The sequence below is a fragment of the Homo sapiens genome, chromosome 6 (assembly GCF_000001405.40).
Source record: "Homo sapiens chromosome 6, GRCh38.p14 Primary Assembly".
Classification (NCBI taxonomy): Eukaryota; Metazoa; Chordata; class Mammalia; order Primates; family Hominidae; genus Homo; species Homo sapiens.
The window spans coordinates 97,155,907-97,181,345 of NC_000006.12; the positions used below are offsets into that span (position 1 = coordinate 97,155,907).

A 25,439-nucleotide genomic window follows, 5' to 3' on the forward strand; every position below is an offset into this window, starting at 1 on the left:
ACACTGTCTTCCACAATGGTTGAACTAATTCACACTCCCAACAGTGTGAAAGTGTTCCTATTTCTCCACATCCTCTCCAGCATCTGTTGTTTCCTGACTTTTTAATGATCACCATTCTAACTGGTGTGAGATGGTATCTCATTGTGGTTTTGATTTGCATTTCTCTAATGACCAGTGATGATGAGCATTTTTTCGTAAGTTTTTTGGCTGCATAAATGTCTTCTTTTGAGAAGTGTCTGTTCATATCCTTCGCCCATTTTTTGACGGGGTTGTTTGTTTCTTGTAAATTTGTTTAAGTTCTTTGTAGATTCTGGATATTAGCCCTTTGCCAGATGGATTGCAAAAATTTTCTCTCATTCTGTAGGTTGCCTGTTCACTCTGCTGATAGTTTCTTTTGCTATGCAGAAGCTCTTTAATTAGATCCCATTTATATATTTGGCTTTTGTTGCCGTTGCTTTTGGTGTTTTAGTCATGAAGTCTTTGCCCATCCCCATGTCCTGAATGATACTGCCTAGATTTTATTCTAGGGTTTTTATGGTTTTAGGTCTTACGTTTAAGTCTTTAATCCATCTTGAGTTAATTTTTGTGTAAGGTGTAAGGAATGGATCCAGTTTCAGTTTTCTGAATATGGCTAGCCAGTTTTCCCAGCACCATTTATTCAATAGGGAATCCTTTCCCCATTGCTTGTGTCAGGTTTGTCAAAGATCAGATGGTTGTAGATGTGTGATGTTATTTCTGAGGCCTCTGCTCTGTTCCATTGGTCTGGACATCTGTGTTGGTACCAGTACCATGCTGTTTTGATTACTGTAGCCTTCTAGTATCGTTTGAAGTCAGGTAGCGTGACAAAGTAGCCTCCTGCTTTGTTCTTTTTGCTTAGGATTATCTCGGCTATGCACACTTTTTTTTGGTTCCATATGAAATTTAAAATAGTTTTTTTTCCAGTTCTGTGAAGAAAGTCAGTGGTAGCTTGATGGGAATAGCATTGAATCTATACTTTGGGGAGTATGGCCATTTTCACGATATTGATTCCTCCTATCCATGAGTATGGAATGTTCTTCCATTTGTTTGTGTCCTCTTTTATTTTATTTTGTTGAGCAGTGGTTTGTAGTTCTCCTTGAAGAGGTCCTTCACATCCCGTGTAAGTTAGATGCCTAGGTATTTTATTCCCTCTGTAGCAATTGTGAATGGGAGTTCACTCATGATTTGTCTCTCTGTCTGTTATTGGTGTATAGGAATGCTTGTGATTTCTGCACACTGATTTTGTATCCTGAGACTTTGCTGAAGTGGCTTATCAGCTTAAGGAGATTTTGGACTGAGACGATGGGGTTTCCTAAATATACAATCATGTCATCTGCAAACAAAGACAATTTGACTTCCTCTTTTCCTAACTGAATACGCTTTATGGCTTTCTCTTGCCTGACTGTCCTGGCCAGAACTTCCAACACTATGTTGAAGAGGAGTGATGAGAGAGGGTATCCTTGTCTTATGCCAGTTTTCAAAGGGAATGTTTCCAGTTTTTGTCCATTCAGTACGATATTGGCTGTGGGTCTGTCATAAACAGCTCTTATTATTTTGAGACACGTTCCATCAATACCTAGTTTATTGAGAGTTGTTAGCATGAAGTACTGTTGAATTTTGTTAAAGGCCTTTTCTGCATCTATTGAGATAATCATGTGGTTTTTGTCATTGGTTCTGTTTATGTGATGGATTATGTTTATTGATTTGCATATGTTGAACCAGCCTTGCATCCCAGGGATGAAGCCGACTTGATCGTGGTGGATAAGCTTTTTGATGTGCTGCTGGCTTCGGTTTGCCAGTATTTTATTGAGGATTTTTGCATTGATGTTCATCAGGGATATTGATCTAAAATTTTTTTTTGTTGTTGTGTCTCTGCCAGGTTTTAGTATCAGGATGATGCTGGCTTCATAAAATGAATTAGGGAGGATTCCCTCTTTTTCTATTGATTGGAATAGTTTCACAAGGAATGTTTCCAGCTCCTCCTTGTAACTCTGGTAGAAATCAGTTGTGAATCTGTCTGGTCCTAGGCTTTTTTTGGTTGGTAGGCTATTAATTACTGCCTCAATTTCAATACCTGTTATTGGTCTATTCAGATGTTCGACTTCTTCCTGGTTTAGTCTTGGGAGGATGTATGTGTCTAGGAATTTATCCATTTCTTCTAGATTTTTTAGTTTATTTGTGTAGAGTTCTTTATAGTACTCTCCGATGGTAGTTTGTATTTCTGTGGGATCGGTGGTGATAACCCCTTTATCATTTTTTATTGCATCTATTTGATTCTTCTCTCTTTTCTTCTTAATTAGTCTAGCTAGTGGTCTATTTCGTTGATCTTTTCAAAAAACCAGCTCCTGGATTCACTGATTTTTTTGAAGGTTTTTTTGTGTCTCTATCTCCTTTAGTTCTGCTCTTAGTTATTTCTTGTCTTCTGCTAGCTTTTGAATTTGTTTGCTCTTGCTTCTCTAGTTATTTTAATTGTGATGTTAGGGTGTCAATTTTAGATCTTTCTGCTTTCTCTTGTGGGCATTTAGTGCTATAAATTTCCCTCTACACACTGCTTTAAATGTGTCCCAGAGATTCTGGTACGTTATATCTTTGTTCTCACTGGTTTCAAAGAACATCTTTACTTCTGGCTTCATTTTGTTATTTATCCAGTAGTCACTCGGGAGCAGCTTGTTCAGTTTCCATGTAGTTGTGCGGTTTTGAGTGAGTTTCTTAATCCTGAGTTCCAACTGGACTGCACTGTGGTCTGAGAGATAGTTTGTTGTGATTTCTGTTCTTTTACATTTGCTGAGGAGTGTTTTACTTCCAATTATGTGGTCATTTTTAGAATAAGTGCGATGTGGTGCTGACAAGAATGTATATTCTGTTGATCTGGGGTGGAGAGTTCTGTAGATGTCTATTAGGTCTGCTTGGTCCAGAGCTGAGTTCAAGTTCTGGATATCCTTGCTAATTTTCTATCTCATTGATCTAATATTGACAGTGGGGTGTTAAAGTCTCCCACTATTATTGTGTGGGAGTGTAAGTCTCTTTGTAGGTCTCTAAGAACTTGCTTTATAAATCTGGGTGCTCCTGTATTGGGTGCATATACATTTAGGACAGTTAGCTCTTCTTGTTGCATTGATCCCTTTACCATTATGTAATGGCCTTGTCTCTTTTGATCTTTGTTGGTTTAAAGTCTGTTTTATCAGAGACTAGGACTGCAACCCCTGATTTTTTTTTTTTTGCTTTCCATTTGCTTGGTAAATCTTCCTTAATCCCTTTATTTTGAGCCTTTGCACATTGAGATGGGTCTCTTGAATACTGCACATTGATAAATCTTGACTCTTTATCCAATTTGCCAGCCTGTGTCTTTTAATCGGGGCATTTAGCCCATTTAATTATTAATTATTTTTGAACTATTTCCTTTGTGGTCACTCTAAGCTAACCATATATACCTTAACTTATCAGAGCTTCAAATTTATACTAATTCTAGTGAAATACAGAAACATAAATCCTATGCACTATATAGCTCTATTTATTTCTCTCCCTTTTTGTGGTATTGTTATACTTATTATATAATATCTACAAATGTTAAAACTTAAAAGTATACTGTTGTAATTTTTACTTTATATAAATTTATGTCTTTCAAAGAAGCTAAGAAAAGAGAGAACAGCAAATACATATCTTAACTTCTGCTATATAGGTCCAGCATTCCAAAGATCCAAAATTCCAAATGCTTCCAAATCTGAAAGTATTTGAGCTGACCTGATGCCATAAGTGGAAAATTCCACACCTGACTTCATGTGACAAGTTGCATATACTATTTATAAATATTGTAAAAAATTACCTTCAGGCTACATGTTTAAGGTATATATGAAACATAAATGAATTTCATGTTTAGACTTGAGTCCTGCTGCTAAGATACCTCATAATAAATATGCAAATATTCAAAAATCCAAAAGAATCTGATATATAAAACACTTCTGTTCCCAAGCATTTTGGATACGGAATACTCATCCTATATTAACCTTCTTATTTATCATTTCTGTTTTTTTTTTTTTTTTTTTTCATTTATTCCCAGGTATTTGAGTTGCCATGTGGAGTCCTTTCCTTAGCCTAATACTGTTTTCTCTCACCACCTCCTTTTTATTGTTATTGATAAAATACTATATTTCTATAAGTTATAGGCCCAACAATATTATTTTATACAAATGCTTTTTAAAAACCAGTTAAGATAATAAAGATGAAAAAATGTGAATTTATACTGTCTTAATAATTATATGATAATCTTTACTAGAATTCTTTTGTGTGTTATGTGGATCCAAATTACTGCCTGGGGTCAGTCTCAGTCTGAAAAACTTCCTTTAGCATTTTGTTAAAAGGTGGGTCTGTTAGCAACAAATTCTCTCAGTTTTAATTTATTTGAGAAGGTCTGTTTCATCTTCAGTTTTGAAAGGTAGCTTTGCTGAAAAAAGATTCTTGGTTGACAGGTCCCCCTCTACACTCCTGCTTTAATTCCTGTGAATGCTATCCCACTGTCTCTGGCCCCCAGTTTCCTCTGAGAAGTCAGCTGTTAATCTTACTGGGGTTTCTTGTAGAGGATGAGTCATTTTTCTCTGGCTACTTCCAAGATTTTCTTTGCCTTTAGCTTTTGGCATCTTTACTATAATGTATCTGTTTGTGGATCTTTTTGCATTTACCTTACCTGGAGTTAGTGGAACTTCCTGAATGTATAAGTTAATATTCTTGAATAAACTTGAAAAAATTTTAGAAATTATATTTTATTTTCAATTTTTTTGGCTTTCTCTCTTCTTCTGGTTCACCTGTTGTATATATGGTGCACTTAATGGTGTTCCACATTTCTCAACAGCTCTGTTCATTTTCTTCATTTTTTTGTCCTCTGTGCTTTAGATTGTATGATCTGTATTGATCTATTTTCAAGTTTGCTAATTCTTTCTTCTGCCAGTTCTAATCCACTAATGGGCCCCTCTGGTGAAATTTTCAACTCAGCAAAATTTCCATTTGGTTCTTTTCATAAAATTTCTTTCCCTATTGCCACCATACTTTCGTTTTCTTCATTTATCACACATTCCTTTAGTTCTATATTTATAATAGTTACTTTGAAGTCTTTGTCTGTTAAAGACAATATCTGACTGCTCTCACTGGCAGTTCCTGTGGCCTGCTTTTATTCTCAGTATATGGATTGTATGTGTCTGTTTCTTTGCATGTCCTGTAATTTTTTGGTGAAAATTGGGCTTTTTAAATAATGAAGTCCACTCCTCCTCTTGCCCTCTCACTGCCTTAGATATTGCTTCTGAGGTGATGTAACCTCAGGTACGCCCACAGTCTCCATGTGAAGACAATGGTTTTGGCAGGACTCTCTTTGACTGTCCCTTTCCCTGATCACACTCAGCTGTTAAGCTCCACTAATTAATTTCTGGGTGATTGTTTTAATGTTTTTAGTAATACACTGGGGCATAAATTGCTTTAAGGACTAATCTAATCAAATTCAGGCTCCTTTGAGGTCAGTGCTTGAGATTTATTCTGACCTAAGAGCTCTATCCCAAAGTGCTGGGATTACAGGTGTGAGCCATTATGCCAGGCCAATAAATGTTATTTTAAAGCAATCACTGGAAGTAAGGCTGATGAGACTGAAAACAAAAGGAGTAGAATCAAAGGACCCCTACCGGTTTGCCTCAAAAATCAGCTTAGATATTCCAGCAAAAACCTGAATAAAAAAAGTATGATGACCTCTCATTACTTGATATTTAACAAATTGCCTTTAATACTGAAGTCAAATTGAACAAATATTCTTTGAGAGGTTAACAAATCTAATCAAGGGAAGTAACCCTTAAATAAACTATTTGCCTCAAGGGGAGAAAAAAAGCCAAAACTAAAATGGACCAAAACATCTCAGTTTTTAACCATTTTATCATACCTAATCTGAGCTGCTAGCTGGAGTTTATTCTTTAACCATGACCCATATCAAGAGATATAAAAGAATCACATATATTTTGTAACTATCCATTAAATTGAGGGGAAACAGTAGTTTCTTAACTTGTAAAAAGAAAATGGTAACAAAAATAAGCTTACAAACAAACCTTGTGGTTCACTGACTAACACCAAGCATTTTAAAATGCCAGGGAGGAGTAGTTCAACTTCATAAATGTCTGTGTTAGTTTCCTTGAAGAGTTGGAGGATGAAGGCCAGAATGGATGCTAAGCGAGGAGGAGGTGAGGACCCCTTATACTCAAGGTAGGATTTCCTGAAAAGAAGCAAAATTTGTTTATTCTCTGCTTAAAGCTTCAATAGAGCAAGACCAAATGGCATATAATTTAAAGATATTGGCAAAATTTACCCCCCAAATTAATACAGTGCCACTTGTATAAAGTATGTATATTTTACCATGCTATCTTCAAACATAGGATTTTAGAAGCAATGACTGACTGTATATCTTTCTGGTGTGTTCTGAGGGCCAAAGCACAATATAGTCACAAACTAAATTGAAAGCAACCTTGTTTTAAAATGAACTCAAAATCCAAATGAAAGCCTAACTGTTAATTTGCAGGTTTTTTTTTTCCCTTTCTAATACAAGTCTGATCTCCTCCATTGGGTCCTCAATGCCGCAACATTTTCTCTAATGTCAAATTTGCATAAAGAAATCTCTCTTCATATCTATTTATTTAAGGACTTGGAAGGAGTCTTATTTTTCCAAACAAACAGAGGACTGTCCTAGGAATAAGATAGGACACTCAAGCTTTATCTCCTTCCTTCCTCCAGCAAGTTAAAGACTCAGAGAACTAATTTAGGATTTAGCATTATCTCTCAAGACAAGACAAAATTTAGTACTAGAACTCAAGAGCGATCATAAGGATAATAATTTGACTCATCTTTGTATATTCTCACCTCTTAGAACAGGTCCGGGCCCATAACAAGTGTTCAGTATACATTTATTAAGTGAATAAATAAAAGTTGGAATTGCTTAGTTTCTACAAATGTCTAGACAATGTGAAAATCTGTCAAATACAGCTAAATATAAACTAGACATCCATATATATATATATTTGCAAAGTAATAATAACCATAAGGAAGAGAAACCACTAAGTATTATAAACATAAGGACAGGAACTATGTCTTAGTAATTATTTCTATTCCCTACAGTGACTTCCAACAAATACTACATATTAGAAAATTCATTCTTTGAGGTTTTGTCCAATTTTGTTTACTGCTGAATTCCTAATGCCTAGAACAAACATATATTGGGCGCCAGTGGAATGCCAGGTACATGTCTAAGAACAAGAATATAAAATTGAATAAAATATGGTCTCTGAAAGCAAGAGGCCCACCATGGAGTGGAGAAGTTAAATGAGAAAAAGAAAAAGACAATTATAATATAGCATAATGGTGCTTTTGACAAAGATAAGCACAGAATTCTCAGGAATTCAGAGAAAAGAGCCCTAACTCAGATGAGGGAGTGCAGGAATAGAGAAGCATGGCATGGAAGAAGTCATAGAAGACAATCTCTATATCTTTCCTGAGTATTAAAAAAAAAGCCTTCAACTATAAACCACAAGAAAAACATTTTCACTGTGTGTTAAGTAAATAGGAAAGTCAACTAATTCTGGGATCCTAAACACTGGGGTTTTAAACAGTTTTACAGATTCAATTTCACTTCAGCATCTGTCATTTAGTTTGTACTATAATTACTTATGCAATATCTCAAACACTGTGTTAGGTTACTACAATCCTGTTGGAAATTCAGATACAAGTAAGGCAAAACTATCATAATTCTGCAAATTGAGCTGTACAGGGCATATGATTTCAAAAAAGGAAACATACATGGTACACTGACATATCAGGTGTAGGTTTTATAAAGGATACGTGGGATTTAGCCCAAAAAAATGACATTTTAATGGAGAAAGCAATTTGAATAAAGCTGTGACATAGGGAGGTATGAGGCATTTTGGAGGGGCAATATGAATCTTATTAGGGGTTGTATGACACCATATGTAATACATTTGGAAACGGTAAGTGATGGATTGCAGAGAGCTAAGGAGCATGAAATTTATTTCATGGACAAAAAAGATATTGCAGGTTTAATGGCAGGGAAGTTTCATAATGAAAGAGTATTTTAGGAAAAGTAATCTGGGGGCATTGTTTAGGGTGGACTAGAAGAAAAGACTAGAGATGCAGAAAGCAGTCAGGAGATTCTGACAATAGTCTAGGTATAATGCACTAAGGGAAGAGAAATAGGAAAAGGAGGACAGGATTGCCAAAGGATGGGCAAGGAAAGGAAGCAAAGAAGATAAAGCTTCCAAACCTGAGTAACAGGACACTAAGAACTCAAAAAGGTGAGAGGGGAGACAGATTTTAGGCATGGAATTCTATGAGAGGTAACAGATATTATTGGGTCATTAAAAAACACAGAAAACTAATACTAGATAAGAATAACATACATCACCATAGCATCTTAAAGTTTAAAAGCTAATTTCATATAAAAATAAATAATACATGAAGGCAATGACAAAACATTTTTTATTACTGAACTTTCTAATGTTAAAGTTAAAGGATATAGACTTAGTAGAATATTTAAGAAGTTTTGTTTTTCATTTGCTTAATAAAACTGAGTTAAGACTAAACTAACAAGACTTCAGGGTGCTTCATTTCCAATATTAGCATTCATTTTTTCACTTAATTATCTTTATAAAATATAATTACTGTATTTTATTTTTTTGAGATGGTGTCTCGCTCTGTCACCCAGGCTATAGTACAGTGGCACAATGTCAGCTTACTGCAACCTCTGCCTCCCAGATTCAAGCAATTCTCCTGCCTCAGCCTCCTGAGTAGCTGGGATTAGAGCCATCCGCTACCATGTCCAACTAATTTTTTTGTATTTTTAGTACAGACTGGGTTTCACCATGATGGCCAGGCTGGTCTCGAACTCCTGACCTCTAGTAATCCACCCACCTCTGCCTCCCAAAGGGCTGGGATTATAGGTGTGAGCCACCACACCCAGCCAAATATAATTACTGTGTTTTATACAGTATAAAATACAAATATTGTTTATCTGATGAAAAACTAAAAAGCAAAAATATACCTTTAGGACATATATAAGGAAGGTAATAGCTACATAGAGAAAAGAGAAGGAATTTAAAGAGCATTGTCTTAGGCTGCCATAAGCAAATGTCATTTTAATAAAATCTTAGATAATGCTTCTCAGGAAAACAAAAAGCTTCTGAACTACTAGTATCCTAAGGGTTGCCAATATGTTTGAAATGCCACTTTATCACTTTAATAGAGCTTAATAATTTGTACATACCACCTATATTTAATATTTAGATGTACCTTATGACTTGCACAATGCATTTCTTTAGAGATGATATTGGTGGAATAGTGGCTGTGTTTCTCAATGCCAGCAAAACAGGATGTTGTCCAAGATCTGAAACATATGGTGAAGCTGGAAGAAATCGCCCAATATACTGCTCAATAACATTCCCTAGCAATTGATTCAAATAGGCATTCGGATTTTGAGATTGACAACACACGATACACATGCCCTACAAGGAAAAAAAGTAAGAAATACTAAGAGGTAAAGTTTCAAAGAACAAACAATATTTAGAAACTCACTAATGAAGTCCCCAGCATTAATAATCATGTGAGAATATAAAAATCAAAAAGGATACCTCACGTAATCCACAGATAATGTACATACGAATTACAAGGAGTTAAGCCTGGGCAATACATATGATATGGCATCTAACTAAGCATGTGTGTCTGAGGTGTGGACAAAGGAAGCAGGGGAGAACAGTAGGAAGACAAAGGCAGATTCTTTTCCTGTAATCATCAGAACACTTGAACATCTTGCTCATCAACTACATTTATGTGTACTTACAAAGTTATAAAACACCTTTAGGTCATTTTTTTCTAGGTACTGGTTATTTTGTCTAAGACTATACAATTTTTGCTAAAAGTCTTCCATGCTAAAAATCTGATAATCTTTTTTAAAGTAATAACAAAGGGCGAGGAATATGGAAATTAAGACTCGGAATAACAATTTACTTAGTTTTCCTATAACAGGCACTGTGCTGTGTGCTTTATATTCACTATTTCATTTAAATTTCTCAAAGAACCACTGAGTTAGTAATATTGTATCTCCATTTTACAGCTAGGATAACTAAGGTTTAGAAAAGTGAAGAGTTTAATACAGTCACACAGAACTCTTGATATCTGGTTGCATGTCTGTTTATTTAATCTCTTACATTTGTATAGCAGTTAACAAAATACTTTCATATATATTACAGTATTTAATACTTAAACCAATACTCTGAGAGAAAATAATGTTTTCTGCTAGTATTAGTAAATATTAAATGCTACTAAATATAGATAATCACCAACACAGCAATACATTATATTATAAAAGTTAACTCTTAATTTGGTACTTGGTGACTCACAACGTATTTTCCAAGAGAAATAATTTAAAATGTTTGAAGTCTCCATTTTAGTTGTAAACGGGTACTTACCCAATAAGAAATTCTGAAAGTTTATTTGTAATGAAAAATAGCATACAGCTGTTAAAACTGTACCAAATAAACAACTGAAAAAAATCAAACAATGAACCCCTCCCCCAACCCACCCGCCACCACCAACTCTGTTTCTTGAGTAGTTTAAGGAAAAGCACATTAAATCAGAAGAAGATGAAGTAATAAATGAATATTTTCTGAAAATTCCGAAGAGGAGAGCTGGGTACCATGAAGAAATTAAAGACATAGCTCCAGTTCTACCAAACAGATAATACACCAAACTTTTAAATTTACCACTTACGAAGCTTAAGAGAATTCTTATTAAATGGACTGTTTGGGTTTAAGAGGACCACATGGAAGAAATATTCCAGACTCTCCTGCTGCTCACCACTCCCCTCTATTCATCTCTCCCTCTGTGGGATTGGCGGTTCAGGCTGTGGTGTGGCTGCCTCCCCTTTTTGTCATTCTGCTAGATTAACACACTAAACTTCATTTTAAATGCTATTATGAATAAAAATTAGAGGGAAAATTTAAAACTTCTCAGGAATCTTAAAACTCTGTTAAGAAATACATCTTTGAAAAAAGATTGTTACATAATCAAAATCCATTTTCCCTTTCCTCCTCAGCTTCCCTTGTTGGACCTCAAATTAAGAAGCACTTATCTTTAACATCAGACACTAATGAATAATAAAGTACACCTCCAGTCTCATCCTTTCCTGAATGGCAGATCAATATTTCCAACTGCCTACCTCAAACTAAAGCTGCTCAGAAACCAATCCTTACCTTCATCCCGACATCTCCAGGATTTCCCACGTTAGTAAGTAGAACTACTATCTACGCAGATAGCCACTCTGGAATCTAGGAAGCATTTCACTTCTTTGAGTTCCTCCACAACACTCAATTAGCAAGTACTCTTAATCACAGCTCCCAAATGTTTTTGAAATCTGCTGTTATGGGTTTTATTCCCACTGCCTTAGGTCAAAACCTTCTGACAATATGTGGATTATTACAAGGAACTAGTTACCACTGCTTTCCAAAACCTCCACACCAATTATCTTACATATGACCACCAGAATCATCTTTCTAAAATGTAAATATCATTATGTCACTTCTACTTCTCTGCTCCAAATTCATCAGGTCCCCATGTAAAAGATTAAGTCCAAACTTCTTAGGATGGAATATAAAGCCCTCCATTACATGGCTCCTCCCATATGACTCTCCAGCCACAACAGAACCATTCTATATTTTCTTAAAGCTCATGCCCTTGTACATGTTGCTCCCTCTGAAATGAAAAGCCCTCCAACTCCTACCCATTTTGCTCTTTTACCTCTGATGTCCTCTACAGTGTATTCTCTTATATCTCCTCACCCATAGTCTAATAGATGAGGTCTGAAAAAAAAAATACTGAGCACACTACCATAAGTGTCTGTGCTCATCTACCTCCTCTCTCAACTTTAAGCTCCTCTGCTTTTTCATTTTTGTTTCCAAAGCCAAACATAAAAGCAATTTAAAATATGTTCAATAAATGTGCCACACAAGCATTTGAGATTATAATGTACAGTTTTTAAATCTGCATTTAGTAAACTATGTTTTTAAGGCAAAGTTTCAATATTTTTTTTTTAAACTTTTAAGCAACCACAGATACTATACCTGGAGATACAAAGGAAGACTTTTCTGAATTGCTGACAACATAGGTGCAGGCAGTTCCTTCTCTTGCTGTAATACTGCATGTGGCAGCAGTAAACAATCTATGATCCGGAATAGTAATTTTTGGGCTTTAGAAGTGGCAAAGATTTGTGCCCATGATTTCACAAGAATTCCTAACAAAGAAGAGAAGTAACAGCATGTTGTTGTTATCCTCTGACCAGAACATTTTGTCACTTAATTTAAAAATTTGTATTGAAAGCACATGGGACCAAATTAAAGTAGGGAATAGGAAGAGACATATAGTAGAAGTAACAAATATTTATGTCAATTCATATATTTCACTAAAGAGACAAATTTTTCATAGAGTTTTGGGCCAAGGAAAACATACATTTTCCGAGCAACTGGCATTTAATATATACACTGGTTAAGTATCCCTAATCTGAAAATATAAAATCTGAAACGCTCCAAAATCCAAAAGTTTGTGAGTGCCAACATGATGATCAAAAGAAATGCTCATTAGACCATTTCAAATTTCACACTGTTGGATTAGGGGTGCTCAACTGGTTAAGTATACTACAAGTATTCCAAAATCCAAAAAAATCTGAACTCCAAAATACTTCTAGTCCCAAGAATTTTAGACAAGGGCTAGTCAACCTGTTTACACTCACACATACAGTGGAATATATTTATACATTATGTGACTACATTGGCTGAATGTTGAAATTATTCAGGATTTCCCTTTCTGCTTTCCCTCTGAGTTGCTAGGATGCCCAAATGCAAATTAACAATCCACCTTTTAAAGAATACTGTAGGATTATACATTATGGTTTTATATGCATACTAATTTTCCCTGGGCCTCACCATGAAACTCTATATTTATTTGTTGGTACCCCTATTTCTTCATATTTTAATCTTACATGTAAGTGGCCTCAATCCAGTTTGCAACAGAAGTATAATTAAATTTAATTGTTAATACATGGAAAGCAGGATTAGCTATAAGCTAATCACTTAACCTCCACCAACTTCAGTTAACCTCCATGAACTTCAGTTTTTACACCTTTCCATTATTTAATATAAACAAACAAAATTTTAATTCTGAATGAAGAGAAACAGATTTCTTTGCTACTTGAAATATATTATGGCTTCCTTGGTGCTAGAAGTCTGTTAATTGCCACATCTGATGATAATAAAGCTTAACAAATGAGCACCCTTTGTTTAATAAAGTAATTAAGAGCAGATATATAATTCCCATTAGGATATATTATTACTATTGAGGTCTCCTTACTGAAAAATGAATTTAAAAACAGATTAAATGCTTATCCAAAAAGCACAGTGGTACATCTACTGCATAAACTTTTATATTTTATTCCATCCTAGAAAGCAAAAACGATAAAATTCAAAGTCATTTCCATCAAATAAAGAGTTTAAAATTTAAGCTCTGAAGGAAAACCAAAATATGCTTATGGAAAAGTATACTGATGTTAAAGAAAAAAACTCAACAAATTATCACTTTTAAGAACAAACAGCAACATTCATCTTTTGTTGTAAAAGGAAGTACAATAATCAATCATAAAGAAACAATGTTCACTTAGCAAAGTTTTAAATAATGCTGGCTTGCTCCTCATTTCTTCAGTTGGTGGAGAATTTCAGTATGACAGCAATATTAGAAGAACTTATATTCTAAAAACATTAATATACCTGTAAGGGGAACTGCTATCATCACTGGCATATGAAATGATTCTTATTACTCTCAGGTGCAATACAGGTATGTTTCACTTTCTACAGTTTTAGTTACCCGTGCTATAGGGTACCACATGGTATAGTTTAGTTACCGGTGATATAGGGTACCACGTGGTATAGTTTAGTTGCCCGTGGTATAGGATACCAATAAGATATTTTGACGAGGGGGTGGGGAAGGCAGTCAGAGAGAGACACAAAGTTCACATAACTTTTATTAGAGTCTATTGTCACAACTGTTCTATTAATACTATTATTAGTTATTATGTTAAACTCTTATGTGCCTTATTTATGAATTAAACCTTATCATAAGTATGTATGTATAGGCAAAAACACAGCATACATAGGATTGGTACTATCTGCGGTTTCAGGCATCCACTAGTGGTGTTGAACATATCCCTCATGAATAAGGGGAAACTACTGTATTTCATTTTCTGCAACGGTTGAAACACTTTGTTGAAGACTGTAAGCTTTAGGAGTTCATATAAGGTGGAGATATTTGTTTTACTCCTTGCTATCAGACACCTACTTTTTAGGTTTCAGCAATGAATATTTGTGTGTGTGTTATTAAAAATGCAAAATGGAAATATAAAAAGATTTTTAAAGTAAAAAACTGGGAAAGGTTTAAATACATACAGTACCTTTGTAAAAACCTAAGTTTTTTTTTTTCTTTTTCTGGCTATAAATATATTATTTATTAACAAATAAAACTGAAAATACAAAAAAATTTAATACAATCTCTCCATTCAATGATAACCACTATACAAGCTCTTGAGTATTTACTCATTTTCTATCCTCTGTATTTTCTATCCTATGTATTTTGCCTACTTTCTACCCTACGTAAAAATTGGGATCACTACAATATACATTTTTAAATCTTTATAGTTAGAAAGTAATTTTGTTCATTTAAGAACATTAAAAGCTGCGTACAGCGGCTCACACCTGTAATCCCAGCACTTTGGGAGGCTGAGGCAGGCAGGCTGCTTGAGCCCAGGAGTTCAAGACCAGCTTTGGTAACATAGTGAGATCCTGTCTGTAGTAAAAATACAAAAATTAACCAGGCATGGTGGTGCACATCTGCAGTCCCAGCTACTCAGGAGACTGAGGCACGAGAATTGTTTAAACCCAGAGGCAGAGGTTGCGGTGAGCTGAGATCACGTCACTGCACTTCAGCATAGGTGACAGAGGGAGACTCTGTCTCAAAAACAACAACAACAAAGAAAAACAAAAAGAACATTAAAAAATATATACTATTGCTAGATTAATAAAGTCATTAAATTCCATAAATATTTATATAGTATACACTATCTCCTACTTTGGAGCTCTTTAACTAATGTATCCCTAACTCTCAATCCAGCACCTGATACATAATAATTGTTCTTTTTTGTTCAAAATACATGACAATGGGAATAAAAAATTCAAGAGATGGCTACTACAAGTTTGAAATTTGGTGGGGGCATGTCAAGTACACAAGTAATTTTAACAAATGGCAAACTATAAATAATATCATATCACAAGAAAAGGATAGATGAAGTGTAATGAGAGAGATGATCAAGTCTACTTGGCAATGTGGGAAAAGTGGGGAAATTTGCACTTGGCACCAAAGGGTCATGACTTGAATTTCAATTACAAAGCAAAATGGGGAAGAATGGCCAAAGAGACAGGGATGATTGAAAGCTTTATACATGGAAACAGAAAACTATCAGATATGAAGAATGAGAAAAACAAAACAAAACAAAATCTACAGAGGAGAGAAGTTGATGGATCCACCATGCCTTTTCAGAAATAACTGAGCTACAATTAAGATCACAGATGCCTTCTCCTTAATATGAAAGGTGATTTCATCAACAGTTCTGTGCCTTTCACTAGCAGTCTTGCAACCTTGTAAGTGAACAGCAGAGGTGTCCCCAGTTAGGAACTGTCAAGGTAAATAGAGTACAGTGTTTCAGTGGTTAACTCCTTCCCTCAAATGGTTATGCTATCCCAACCCCAACACATTTTAAAACACCTTGGAGCTCTCCAAAGTTTATACTTTGCTCTTTCTCTGTTTTATTCTAATCCTTTAACATGAAGAAATCATTAAGTTACCTATCCTAATTCCTAACAAATAAATGGGCAACACTGTAGCAATATACTCTTCCTAGTCTTTGAAACCTAGACAAAAGGAAAGAATACAGATCTGCGCATGGAGACAAAAATCAACAAGGCAGCAAAGCAAAGAAAGTCTTCAATTTTTCCTAAGTAGAATTTTGTCCCATGTCTATATCAGACATTTATCTTGGCAAAAATCTAAATCTGGAAACAGAAAACTTTTGTAGACACTAATAAATTATAAGCATGAATGCCAATATATTTATTAATGTGTATTTTACTATTAAACTTATAAATTCTCACTTACATTTTTCTCTAAAATTAAGATGCCTGAATTGCTATAGCTTTTCCTGTAATTTACATCTTCTATATTTACACATTTTCACATTCGCCTTTATCTTTTACAACAAAGATAAAAGGTTTCAGACAACCCGAATCAGGCTTACTCATACATTCATAAGATTAAAGGGAACAGATAAAAGGTTTTGACCACAGAGAAATAAAGGAAAAAAACAAAAAACTTAAATTCTATATAAAAACTTCTAAGGAAATCTTTCTCATTTACCTTTATCCAATTCCTAGTTTTGGTTAGCACCATGGTTTTCGTGAAAAAAAGATATGTTAATCACTGACTTCCTAAAGAAAGATAAACTCCATTGTTATAGAACGGGCATAGAAAATGATTTCTTTTTGAAAAGGGAAGAGTATTGTGAGAAACAAGATTTGAAGCATAAATATTTTTAGTGCTGTATTAAATCCTATCTCCTTCATACAGAGCAGAGCATAGAAATAGATGTAAGCGATAGTTTTCTGATGTTTTTAATTCTAACAATAGATAAGCGTTTTTTTAAAAAAGGTCCATTCTAGTTATTCAGGTATTGAAATGTGACTCATGACAGACTACTGAAAGCAATTGGTGCCAGCATATTTTCTGTATTGATCATAATTTTAATATTAAAACAATCAAAAGTATTGAAAAGAGATAGAGCAAGACAGAGATACATTTGAAGGCCAACATGAATTATTTTAAGCTAAATCACTGTATTTCAGATTACTCTTATGATTGTATGGAGGGTAGTGATTTAGCCAATATATACCTATCCATCATGATAGTATAGGCTCAACCTAAGGAAATGTTACTAGCAAAATAATGCCAGGAATACATACCCATCATTCCATAAGTCAGCTGCAGCCCTGCACTGAAAACTTTTTTTCCCAAATAAGGCTTAATATATTTTAATACTTCACCAAGGTATTCCAAGGACTTTGTGACCATGGCAGATTTATCAGAAAGTGTCTGGACGTTCCCGTAAGTTACACCAACAGCCTATAAATAAAGAAAAACATTATTTAACTTCCCAAAGTTTATACCATAAAGATTTGGAACATAAAGATAATTTTTCTCTCTTTTTCTACATACGCACCCATACCCTTTACATTTAAGCCTTCATTTGTAACCTTCCAATAAAGAGACATAGGAATTAAAACACAAGTAAAAAGAATTAAGTCTTGTCTTTTATTATTAAAATAAAGGTTAAAGGAAGAAATCTTAAAAACTCACCAATAACTACTTATAGAAGGGCCGACTTAGCAAAATATCAGTGAAAAAAAAATGTGAAACTTATGTACACATACCTTGTAACTAAATCACATCATGACTTCCAGACAGGTTGGCTCACCATATTTCCCAGATTACTAGGAATTCAAAATCCCCAAATTCCCCTACAAGGAAAACCTACAAGTAATGCCAAATTTTTACAAGCAAAACCTCTAAAAAGTTCAGCTTTATTATATGAATTCACTTTTCTTCCTAGAATTTTATGAGCCATCTGATGCCAGCTTAACTTCTTGGAAAAAAAAAGGATGGGCAGAGAAGGTAGAGATGGCAAAATGGAGAGTGGTAGAGAGAAATGTGAGGTGAATCAGTAAGAGAAGAACAGAGACATGAGAAGAAGAGGAAAGGAAATAAATGAGAGAATAAATTGAGGAAAGGTTAGAATAAGCAAGGGGTGAAAGGTCACAAAAGAATCAAGAGAAGACTGGCTAAGAGATGGATTAGAAAGTTTAAGGAAAGTGGCCGGTGCGGTGGCTCCTCACGCCTGTAATCCCAGCAGTTTGGGAGGCCAAGGTGGGCAGATCATGAGGTCAAGAGATCGAGACCATCCTGGCCAACATGGTGAAACCCCATCTCTACTAAAAATACAAAAATTAGCTGGGTGTGGTGGCGTGTGCCTGTAGTCATAGTTACTTGGGAGGCTGAGGCAGGAGAATGGCTTGAACCCAGGAGGTGGAGGTTGCAGTGAGCCAAGATCGCACCACTGTACTCCAGCCTGGTGACAGAGCAAGACTGTCTCAAAAAAAAAATAAAAAAAAAAAAAAAATAAAAAGAAAGTTTAAGTAAACTAATAAAATTTTCAAACCATTTTTGAGAACTTATAATGAATTCCAATGACCCAAATTGGACCATGAATTGCACCAATACAAACAGTTCTGTGATTTTTCTTCTGCAGCACTCAGCATGTAAGACAAAGGAAAGAGAAGAGGTGGTTGCACTGAGCCAAGGTTGAGGGTTTGTAGGTGTGACCAAAAGAAAAAAGATTCAAGATTGTGAGAATGTTGGTAAGAGTAGCTGAAGTAAGGCCCTAAGGGGTCTAATTATGGTGAATAGGGAAGGAAGTGAGGCCTTGGGAGAATGTTGTCCTAGGATAACAGAGAGGGGAAGATTACAGTGTGGTCACTCATGAGCTGGAAGGACAGATGATGGTAGTCAATGAGCTTTCAGATGCTCCAAGAGATTCCACTGCTCCGGGTTTAGTCACGGAAGTGGGTGGATGAAGTAGGGGAGAAGTGAAAGACTACTTCTTTCACTGAAAGACTGAAAGAGTACTACAGAAGCTTTGAAATGAAAGCTTAATAGAAGTCATCCATGGTGACATTAAAGTTGGACATGCTGACAATAAAATGTGAAATGAAAAAGATAAGAAAGTCAGTGAACCTAAATGAGTGACTGTGAGATTAGCAGATAAGAACAAGAGATATACTTGACTAATCCCATTCCTCTCTATTTAGCTCTCTTCCCTTTGTTTTCTACACTTCTTTCCCTTGACTAGACGTTCTCAAACTCTTTGGTCTCTGTTCCCTTTTGCACACTTAAAAATGGAGGATCTTGAAGAGCTTTTAATTATTTGGGTTATATCTATTGATATTTATGATATTAGAAAATTTTATTTATTAATTCATTGAAAAGTGATAATGAACATTACATGTAAGTAACATATTTTAGTGAAAGACTATTTCCCAAACAAAAAACAAATTTAGTGAGAAAAGTAGTATTTTTTAACATTTTTACAAATCTCTTTTATGCCTGACTTAATAAAAGACAGCTTGATTCTTATATCTGCTCCTGTATGATTTATTGTGGTATGCTGCAGATGAAGAAAATACAGCTTCAAAAATATATGTGGCTGGAAGAATAAGAAATATTTTGAAAGATTTTTCACATAACCATGAGAATTCCTCTTTGCTATTATACCAAAACTTGACAAGTGGTATTTCCTACAGATTAGTTGTAACTAAACCATGGTGTCTGAAACCATGTCAATAAACATTTTATATTCTGTTAAATTAAAAGCCATTGGTCTATCCTGTATTTTGAGTGAATCTTTTACATCCATGAATGCTTTTTAAAAAGCCTATATTCGTCATTTGGAAAATTGTGGTTCACTGAGTTACACAGCTTCCCAATGTTGACACACTTCATTATTTATATCAGGAAAAAAAAATCACACCTGCTAATACCACCACCATTCTCATCAGAAAATAAGTATCGGGAAGCTCTCAAGATCACGATGACAAATACAAGTTTCTCAAAATTCTAATTTTCTTGAAAGCTTGAATTATATTATTAGCAACAAATACTGTCAGTTGTTTGCTTTGAAGTGACAGGCTCACTTCATTCATTTTTTGAGAAAATGTCTGCCAAATAGCCAAGTCTGAATAACCATACTTTGTCAGTTGTTCTTTTAAGATAAAAGCAGTCAGTTCAGCTTGCAACTCAAATAATCACACAAGTGCTTTTCATTTAGGCAACCACATTGCTTTGGTATGCAGCAAAAGTGCTTTAAGTGCACTTTGCATTGTCGTTCACGGAATACTGAAAGTACATGTACTCAAGAGTCAAAACGTAATAAAATAAATAATTTTACTGCTTCATTGAAGATATTCTTAAGTGAAACTGGCTTTTTCTTCTGTAAATGCATGGCAGTATCAATTATAATGAATACTAGTATAATCTTGGGCCGCAGTGTTGATTCATGTAAAAGATTTTACACTATTTGTGCAAATATTAATACTGTTTTGAGCAGGTGGTATCAGTAATTCCCAGGGGTCTATGGACTACACTTTTGAACACCAGTGCCTTAGACTTCTCAATATTGCTCTATGCTTAGGCTTAACTTCCCTAGCCTAAAAAACATGTATTTCTCGGTACCTTGATAATAATAACTTAGATGTCATACTATCATTTCTGTGCAGAAAAGAGTTAATACAGCAGACCCAAGACTGCTACTCTTAAAATGTCCTGCTTGCAAGGCTGGCTCTTGGCTGGTATTTGGGGTCTTAGATTTTGAAAAGCTTCCTACAATTCCTTGATCCTAAACTGGTCTATGCAAATAATATGGCTTATGCTGAATACCTGCTTTCCTTCTGGAACTGGAATTCTCTAAGTATGAGGCAAAGAGGGCATACGTGACCAGTCCCCAATAATAACCATGGGCACTGAGTCACTAAGGAACTTCCCTGGCAGGTAGTGTTTCACATGTCTTGTCACAATTCCTTGCTGAAAGAATTAAGCATATCCTGTGTAATTTCACTGGGAAAAGAATCTTGGAAGCTGTCCCTGGTTTCTTCAGACTTTTCCTCATGCATCTTTTCCTTTTGCTGATTATGCTTCGTATCCCTCTGTTAATAAGTCATAGCTGTGAATACAACTATATGCTAAGTCCTATGAATCACAGAACCGAGGGATAATCTTGGGGAGACCTGACACAACTTAAAAATGAATAAATTTAAAACTGAATTCCTCACCTACTTCTCTGTCACCCTAAATCATGATGTTCCTATTTCTCCTTAAGGTATCATCACTCTTTTAGTCAAACACAGCATTTATTTCATATCCATTCAGAAATCCCACAACCATTCAATCTTTGATTCCTTCTAAACCTCATTAGCTTTTGGCCAACAGTTCTCTGCACCTTTAAGTTATATTATTGTTACTTATTTTCATTAAAAAAATTATTTAACCAAATCATATCTACTTAAAAACTTACAAAGCCTTCACAATCTTCACAGGATAAAATCCAAACTTCTTATACTAAAATGCTTTAAATTCTTTACCTACTGATTGATCTGTCAACCAACTGGCACTTAGCATATAATGCCTTGTGTTACTATTTTAGTCTTTGTGTATGTCTTATATCCACAGAGAAGTAAAGGCCACCTGAGATAAAGAACTACTTCTTTTGATTTTTCAAATCCCTACGAAGTTCTAGCATAATATTATCTAGCATTCAGCAAAAAACTCATTTTCTTAGTGGTGAAAGAACAATTAATTTGGGCTAGATGAAAACTATCAATGAAGAACTTGATTTCTAGCTCTATTTCTGATCCATTATAGCTCCTAGCACACCACAGGCATTTAATTGCAGGTTCAGATCCAATCAACAACTAAATAAGGGTCCAAATGGAATGTGTATTTTACATCTGCATTTACTATTATCAAATATTTTTAGAGATTGCATGACATCTCTAATTGTCATACAATTGTACTTTAACTTAATAGAAACCAATGGAAGAATTAACATTTATGGAAAGAGCTTATTGATTTTAATTATTTTCACTGCAGCTAATACCAACCACTCTGTGGGAAAATAAACCAACTTTTACAATTAATAGCTTACAAAAGACACTAATCCAAACACATTAACAACTAGGTTTGCAAAACAAACACTCTCACATAGATAAATTTCTGTACAATTAATAATTAAAAATAAAATTTTGAATGGTACTGTTTATTATGGAAACAAAACAAAACAAATGGATTGGATTTTAATGCTCCAACTATACTATCATACGAAGTAGATGGTGCTTATGCCTACACTGTTCGCTACAGGGTGATAAACACTAAGGTGGGAGTATCATGGAATGTTTACAAGGATATTCAGTTCCCAAGCATCTGAACAATGCGGTTGTCCAGCAACTGTGTCAATATTCCTACAATTTAGATTAGCCTTAGAGTAAAGCTTTTTTGTGGTATTCTTTAGTTTTATTATTCTTCATTAATGTAATTTTTCTGCTGTCCTTAAGTGTGAATTGTACTATACCTTAGATTCACATTTTTCTTCCTCCAGAACTTTATAATAGCAGGCAATCAATAATATGATTCAATTTATAAGAATTCATTTTATAGAAAAACTTTAAGAATACTTCAGGTTTTTCTGAAAATTAATTGTAATTAATCTGGACAATTATACTAATAAATGACAAATACCTCAAAGAATCGAACAAGTGCTTTTTTAGGGTCTTCTGAGATGGATAAATATTCAACTTGGGCCTTTGAGAAAATACTCTTTACTTCTGAGAGATTAAATAGTAATCTTGTCAGTTTGACCAACTGTTTCATGTACTCTTTTTCTGTTAAAATAAAATAGTATTTGTTATATCAATTTATATAACATACTATATACATAACCACACATACAACATATATATAATGTATATATGAGAAGTAATACAGTATTCTTCACTTATGACATGCTTTCTTTTAAAATTCAAATTTCCACACAAGGACTTCAAATTAAATTTCTCTCACTTATGAACATCCTTGCCCCAAAAGTTATTCATGTAACACCAACTAATATAATAAAATATTAAAATAAATTTGGAGGATTTTTTTCAGGCCAACCTTCATGAAAATAACAAGTGGCCACAAACAATAGCTTTGGGAAAAGACATGTCCTACAGACAACAGAACTGCATGGGACATTTTTTAAAAAGTACAGATATCACTCAATGACTACTTGTAAAGCAGAAGAAAGGCAAAATATCTAATATAAAATGGGAGAGAATTATTCATAATTGGGTATTTTTCTTTTTAGGGTGTTCACAGTGTGATATCTGGTTACTCGCTTCAGAGTTCTACTTTTTTCGTGATCAGTTTCTTTAAAAAAATAGCTTGTCACCTGAGAAGCAAATTTCTGTCCTTGGCTTCCAAGGAAACAAGTTCTTTTATCTTTTATAGCAGAGAAGTTTGTCATATATAGTAACAGGAAAATAAAAACAAAACAAAACAAAAAAACGGAAACAGGCTACAAAAGGAAATTAAGTTCTGCTTGTATTCATACCCAATTACGAATATTTTGTATATTTTCTATTAATTACATAACAAATGATCTAGACAGCAAATAGCTTTCCATAGATACCCCCATCCTCCCCAAAAAACGTACACTTACTTACCAACTGCCTCTTCCAGATTTTTATCTATGAGCAAATCATCAGGCCCAGAGAGGTTTTTAATATACATTTGCAAAACACAACGAATCCATGATCTTACGGTTAAGGCTTGAAAAGATACATAGCCTGAATGAGAAAGTGCTTCACATAATGTGCTGTAGAAACAAATTGACAAATATTTTTAAAACAAAAACGTTTCCTGAGTATAGAGATTAAGAAGTAAAGAAAAACATTCTAACATCCCTGCAACTCCTTGGCCTCATTGATTTTTCAGACAAACACACTAACGTAGGCATGCATTGTTGAAAATGAATACTACAGATAAACCCAAAAAGATGTTAAACAAATATCCTTCTTTTCATTTTTAATGTTATAATTTTCAATTTTCCTTTTTCCACTGATGGCATATGTGTAGGTTTATGTTAAGGAAGAAGACAAGAAAGAATGTGGCTACCAAGGAAAAAGCAAGGGCTTATTATAACTAGCTAGGTGAGATAATAATGAAGGAAGTGGCAAGTAGAATAAATATCAGTGTCCGTTAGAATAAGTAAACAGAGAAGTAGTCATGAACGTATGCTCTCTCACTATACGGAGAGTTGTTACTAAAAATTACCTCACAAAGAATTCCAAAACCATTTGCCAGATTTAAAAAATAATTATTTATATGAAGACAATGGGCTGGCTAAACTTGGTTTTTTTTTTCTCTTTTTTTTTTGAGACGGAGTCTCGCTCTGTTGCCCAGGCTGGAGTGCAGTGGTGCAATCTTGGCTCACTGCAAGCTCTGCCTCCCGGGTTCACGCCATTCTCCTGCCTCAGCCTCCCAAGTGGCTGGGACTACAGGCACCCGCCACCATGCCCGGCTAATTTTTTGTATTTTTAGTAGAGACAGCGTTTCACCGTGTTAGCCAGGATGGTCTCGATCTCCTGACCTTATGATCCGCCTGCCTTGTCCTTCCAAGGTGCTGGGATTACAGGCATGAGCCACCGTGCTTGGCCACTAAACCTGATTTCTAACCCATTCATTAGTCAGGGTAGAGAGGATGGGGATGGTCTTAACCTAAATATAAAATGTTATGTAATGTCCAAAATTTTTAAAATTCATACAAACCACAAATCTAAAAATGTTTTGAAATACCTCGAATATAAGTTGTCATAAAAAAGGACACAATGAAGAAGAACACAGACTGGTTATTTATTACCTTATAACTTTCCCAAAGCTATATAGCACCTTTGCATTTCAGTTTCTTCAAATGTTACTAATACGCTAACAATATCATTTTTTAAGTAGAAATTATTTCAAATTATTTCAGCAAAAGTCTTTAATGCATAATATAAATGTTCATTACTATTAAAGAATTCCCAAACTGGAAGGGATTGTAAAAGTAATCCAACTGAATTTGAACTCTCTTACCTTACAACTGAAAGCCCAATGAAAAAATGTATACTTAATGATACTGCTTATTGAAGCTTCCTTAGGAAAAGACTTAGCTCACCAACTACATCTCTCTTCATTTCCACTGATGGGCAGCTTGGACAAAAACTACGTTAAGATGAGGGAAAATAAAATAAATACACAGGCCTAAGAGGACTAAGATCTCATAAACCTACACATATGCCATGTGTACACACGACGTATGTGTAGGTTTATGCTAAGGACGAAGACAGGAAAGACTATGGCTACCAAGAGAAAAGCAAGGGCTTATTATAACTAGCTATGTGAGATAGTAATGAAGAAAGTGGCAAGTAGAATAAAAATAAAAACCCTAGAAAAAATAAACAGAGAAGTGGTCATGAATATGCTCTCTCACTCTACAAGCAGTTGTTACTAAAAAGAGGACTAAGACCTCTTAGGCTTGTATATTTATTTTATTTTCTCTCATCTTGATGTTCTTATTCAAGTCTTCCTGACCACTCTACACTATTTCTATTGTAACTTTATTC

General features: G+C 34.6%; 1 protein-coding gene across 20 annotated transcripts in view; it reads right to left on the reverse strand.

Annotated features, from left to right (window-relative positions):
* The window catches only part of MMS22L (MMS22 like, DNA repair protein), a 141,875-nt gene that overhangs the window by 13,746 nt on the left and 102,690 nt on the right, over positions 1-25,439 (reverse strand). For 19 of the 20 annotated variants that reach the window (NM_001350600.2, XM_047418577.1, NM_001350599.2 and 16 more), the window contains 6 exons: positions 23,502-23,653; positions 22,537-22,679; positions 17,157-17,316; positions 12,165-12,334; positions 9,340-9,551; positions 6,096-6,259 (listed from right to left, as the gene is read on the reverse strand). In NM_001350600.2, the coding sequence (NP_001337529.1) occupies positions 6,096-6,259; positions 9,340-9,551; positions 12,165-12,334; positions 17,157-17,316; positions 22,537-22,679; positions 23,502-23,653 (1,001 nt within the window). Of the gene's footprint in view, positions 1-6,095; positions 6,260-9,339; positions 9,552-12,164; positions 12,335-17,156; positions 17,317-22,536; positions 22,680-23,501; positions 23,654-25,439 lie in introns of those variants that run through there. The other variant, XR_942376.2, reaches the window with a different exon arrangement.